The sequence below is a fragment of the Homo sapiens genome, chromosome 11 (genome assembly GCF_000001405.40).
Source record: "Homo sapiens chromosome 11, GRCh38.p14 Primary Assembly".
NCBI lineage: Eukaryota > Metazoa > Chordata > Mammalia > Primates > Hominidae > Homo > Homo sapiens.
Genome location: NC_000011.10, coordinates 50,794,958 through 50,800,010, shown reverse-complemented (window position 1 = coordinate 50,800,010; position 5,053 = coordinate 50,794,958). Strand labels below are relative to the sequence as shown.

Sequence of the window (5,053 nt, the reverse complement as noted above, 5' to 3'; positions counted from 1 at the left end):
TTTGAAACACTCCTTTTGTAGAATCTGCAAGTGGATATTTGGAGCGCTTTGGGGCCTGTGGTGGAAAAGGAAATATCTTCACATAAAAACTAGAGAGAAGAATTCTCAGAAACTTCTTTGTGATGAGTGCATTCAATACACACAGTTGAACCTTTCTTTTGATAGAGCAGTTTTGAAACACTCTTTTTGTAGAATCTGCAGGTGGATATTTGGGGCGCTTTGAGGCCTATGGTGGAAAGGGAAATATCCTCACATAAAAACTAAACAGAAGCTTTCTCAGAAACTTTTTTGTGTTGTGTGCATTCAACTAACAGAGTTGAAACTTTCCTTTGATTGAGCAGTTTTGAAACACTCTTTTTGAAGAATCTGCAAGTGGATATTTGGAGCACTTTTGGCCTATGGTGCAAAAGCAGATATCGTCACATAAAAATTTTACAGTAACATTCTCAGAAACTTCTTTATGATGAGCGCATTCAACTCACAGTGTTGAACCTTTCTTTTGATAGAGCAGTTTTGAAACACTCTTTTTTTGTAGAAACTTCAATTGGATATTTGAAGCCCATTGAGGCCTATGGTGGAAAAGGATATATCTTCACAAAAGAACTAGGCCAAAGCATACTGAGAAACTTCTTTGTGATGTGTGCCTTCAACTCACAGAGTTGCACCTATCTTTTGATTGAGCAGTTTTGAATCTCTCTTTTTGCAGAATCTGCTGCTGGATGTTTGGAGAGCTTTGAGGCCTACAGTGGAAAAGGAAATATCTTCACATAAAAACTACACAGAATCATTCTGAGAAACTTCTTTGTGAAGTGTGCATTCAACTCACAGAGTTGAACTTGTCTTCTCATTGAGCAGTTTTGAATCTCTCTTTTTGTAGAATCTGCAAGTGGATAATTGGAGCCCTTTGCACCCTGTGGTGGAAAAGGAAATATCTTCAAATAAAAACTACACAGAAGCATTCAGACAAACTTCTTTGTGATGTATGCATTCAACTCACAGAGGTGAACCTAACTTTTGATTGAGCAGTTTTGAATCTCTCTTTATGCAGAATCTGCAGGTGGATATTTGGAGCCCTTTGTGGCCCACTGTGGAAAAGCAAATATCTTCACATAAAAACAAGACAAAAGCATTCTCAGAAACTTCTTTGTGATGTGTGCATTCAACTCACAGAGTTCAACCTTTCTTTTAATAGAGCAGTTTTAAAAAAGTCTTTTTCTGGAATCTGTAAGTGGATATTTGGAGTGCTTAGAGGTCTATTGTGGAAAAGGAAATATCTTCACATAAAAACTAGACGGAAGCATTGTCAGAAACTTCTTTGTGATACATTCAACTCACAGGGTTGAACTTTTCGTTTGATAGAGCAGTTTTGAAACACTCTTTTTGTAGAATCTGCAAGTGGATACTTGGGGCACTTTGAGGCCTACGGTGGAAATGGAAATATCTTCACATAAAAACTAGAAAGAAGCATTCCCTGAAACTTCTTTGTGATGTGTGCATTCAACTCACAGAGTTGAACCTTTCTATTGATAGAGCAGTTTTGAAAAAGTCTTTTTCTAGCATCTGCAAGTGGATATTTGGGGTGCTTTGAGGTCTATGGTGGAAAAGGAAATATCTTCATGTAAAAACTAGACAGAAGCATTGTCAAACACTTCTTTGTGATGAGTGCATTCAACTCACAGAGTTGAACCTTTCTTTTGTTAGAGCAGTTTTGAAACCCTCTTTTTGTAGAATCTGCAAGTGGATATTTGGAGCACTTTGAGGCCTATTGTGGAAAGGGAAATATTTTCACATAAGAACTAGACAGAAACATCCTCAGAAGCTTCCTTGTGATGAGTGAATTCAACTGACATAATTGAACCTTTCTTTCAATACAGCAGTTTTTAAACACTCTTTTCGTAGTATCTGCAAGAGGATATTTGGAGCATTTTGAGGTCTATGGTGGAAAAGGAAATGTTTTCACATAAAAACTAGACAGAAGCATTCTCAGAAACTTCTTTGTGACGTGTGAATTCAACTGAGACTGTTGAACCAGTCTTTTGTAAGAGCAGTTTTGAAAAACTCTTTTTCTAGAATCTGCAAGAGGATATTTGAAATGCTTTGATGCCAATGGTCTAAAACGAAATATCTTCATATGAAAACTAGACAGAAGCATTCTCAGAAACTTCTTTGTAATATGTGCATTCAGCTCCCTGAGTTGAACCTTTCTTTTAATAGAGCAGTTTTGAAACACTATTTGTAGAATCTGCAAGTGAATATTTGGAGCGCTTTGAGGCCTATGGTGTAAAAGGAAATATCTTCACATAAAAACTATACAGAAGCATTCTCGGAAACTTCTTTGTGATGTGTGCATTCATCTCACAGAGTTGAACCTTTCCTTTGATAGAGCAGTTTTGAAACACTCTTTTCATAATATCTGCAAGTGGATATTTTGAGTGCTTTGGGGCCTATGTTGTAAAAGGAAATATCTTCAGATAGGAACTAGACAGAAGCACTCTCAGAAACTTCTTTGTGATGAGTGCATTCTACTAACAAAGCTGAATGTTTCTATTGACAGATCAGTTTTGAAACACTCTTTTAGTAGAATCTGCAAGTGGATCTTTGTAGTGCTCTGTGACCTTTGGTGGAAGAGGAAGTATCTTCACTTAAAAACTAGACAGAAGCATTCCCAGAACTACTTTGTGATGTGTGCATTCAACTCACAGAGTTGAACCTTTCTATTGATAGAGCAGTTTTGAAACTCTCTTTTTCTAGAATCTGCAAGTGTATATTTGAGTGCTTTGGGGCCTGTGGCAGAAAATGAAATATCTTCACATAAAAACTAGACAGAAGCATTCTCAGAAACTTCTTTGTGATGAGTGCGTTCAACACACAGAGTTGAACCTTTCTTTTGATAGAGCAGTTTTGAAACACTCTTTTTGTAGAATCTGCAAGTGGATATTTGGGGCTCTTTGGGCCCTATGGTGGAAAAGGAAATATCCTCACATAAAAACTAGACAGAAGCATTCTGTGAAACTACTTTGTGATGTGTGCATTCATCTCACAGAGTTGAGCCTTTTTTTCATTGAACAGTTTGGAAACACTCTTTTTGTAGAATCTGCAACTGGATAATTGGAGCTCTTTGAGTCATATTGAGGAAAAGGAAATATCTTCACATAAAGACTACTCAGTAACATTCTGAGAAACTTCTTTGTGATGTGTGTATTCAACTCACAGAGTTGAACCTGTCTTTTGATTGAGCAGTTTAGAATCTCTTTTTGGAGAATCTGCAAGTGGATAGTTGGAGATTTTTGTGCCGTATTGTGTAAAAGGAAATATCTTCAAATAAAAACTACAGAGAAGCATTCTCAGAAACTTCTTCATGATGTGTGCATTCAACTCACAGAGTTGAAACTATATTTTGATTGAGCAGTTTTGAATCTCTCTTTTTGTAGAATCTGCAAGTGGATGCTTGGAGTGCTGTGAGGCCTACTGTGGAAAACCAAATATCTTCACATAAAAACTACCCAGAAGCATTCTGAGAAACTTCTTTGGGATGTGTGCATTCAACTCGCAGAGTTGAACCTATCTTTTGATTGATTGAGCAGTTTTGAATCTCTGTTTTTGCAGAATGTGAAGGTGGATATTAGGAGCCCTTTGAGGCCTACTGTGGAAAAGCAAATATCTTCACATAAAAACTACAAAGAAGCATTCTGGAAACTTCTTTGGGATGTGTGCATTCAACTCACAGAGTTGAACCTCTCTTTTTATTGAACAGTATTGAATCTCACTTTTTGCAGAATCTGCAAGTGGATATTTGGAGCCCTTTGTGGTTTATGGTGGAAAAGGAAATATCTTCAAATGAAAACTTCACAGAAACATTGTGAGAAACTTCTTTGTGATGTGTGCATTCATCTCACAGGGTGGAACCTATCTTATGTTTGAGCAGTTTTGAAACATTGTTTTTGTAGGATCTGCAAGTTGATATTTGGAGCACTCTGAGACCTACCGTGGAAAAGCAAATATCTTCAGATAGAAACTACACAGAAACATTCTGAGGAACTTCTTTGTGTTGTGTGCATTCATCTCAAAGAGTTGAACCTTTCTTTTGATTGAGCAGTTTTGAAACACTGTTTTTGTAGAATCTGCAACTGGATAATTGGAGCCCTTTGAGTCATATTGTGGAAAAGGAAATATCTTCAAATAAAAACTACAGAGAAGCATTTTCAGAAACATCTTTGTGATGTGTGCATTCAACTCACAGAGTTGAACTTATGTTTTGATTGAGCAGTTTTGAATCTCTCTTTTTTTAGAATCTGCAAGTGGATAGTTGGAGTGCTGTGAGGCCTACTGTGGAAAGTCAAATATCTTCACATAAAAACTACACAGAAGCATTCTGAGAAACTTCTTTATGACGTGTGTATTCAACCCACAGAATAGTACCTGTCTTTTGATTGAGCAGTTTTGAATCTCTCTTTTTGCAGAATCTGAAAGTGGGTGTTTGGAGAGCTTTGAGGCCCATTGTGCTGAAGGAAATATCTTTACATAAAAACTGCACAGAAGCATTCTGAGAAACTTCTTTGGGATGTGTGCATTCAACTCACAGAGTTGAACTTCACTTTTTTTTTTTTTGAGAAAGAGTCTGGGTCTGTCACCCAGGCTGGAGTGCAGTGGTGCAATCTCGGCTCACTGCAAGCTCTGCCTCCTGGGTTCATGCCATTCTCCTGCCTCAACCTCCGGAGTAGCTGGGACTACAGGTGCCCACCACTACGCCCAGCTAATTTTTTGTATTTTTAGTAGAGACGGGGTTTCACCATGTTAGCCAGGATGGTCTTGATCTCCTGACCTCGTGATCCACCCATCTTGGCCTACCAAAGTGCTGGGATTACAGGTGTGAGCCACCTGAACCTCTCTTTTTATTAAGCAGTTTTGAATCTCTCTTTTTGCAGAATCTGCAAGTGGATATTTGGAGCTCTTTGTGGTTTATGGTGGAAAAGGATATATCTTCAAATAAAAACTACACAGAAGCGTTCTCAGAAACTTCTTCATGATGTGTGCATTCAACCCACAGAGTTGA

General features: G+C 37.8%; 3 annotated features.

The window, feature by feature from the left end:
* Positions 2,467 to 3,094: an enhancer, noted in NCBI's record as "OCT4-NANOG hESC enhancer chr11:50756088-50756715 (GRCh37/hg19 assembly coordinates)". NCBI's record gives its function as "activates a minimal SCP1, AML or CMV promoter by ChIP-STARR-seq in primed H9 embryonic stem cells {active_cell/tissue: H9 hESC(primed)}" and the evidence as "EXISTENCE:reporter gene assay evidence [ECO:0000049][PMID:30033119]".
* Positions 3,238 to 3,857: an enhancer, noted in NCBI's record as "OCT4-NANOG hESC enhancer chr11:50755325-50755944 (GRCh37/hg19 assembly coordinates)". NCBI's record gives its function as "activates a minimal SCP1, AML or CMV promoter by ChIP-STARR-seq in primed H9 embryonic stem cells {active_cell/tissue: H9 hESC(primed)}" and the evidence as "EXISTENCE:reporter gene assay evidence [ECO:0000049][PMID:30033119]".
* Positions 4,056 to 4,577: an enhancer, noted in NCBI's record as "NANOG hESC enhancer chr11:50754605-50755126 (GRCh37/hg19 assembly coordinates)". NCBI's record gives its function as "activates a minimal SCP1, AML or CMV promoter by ChIP-STARR-seq in primed H9 embryonic stem cells {active_cell/tissue: H9 hESC(primed)}" and the evidence as "EXISTENCE:reporter gene assay evidence [ECO:0000049][PMID:30033119]".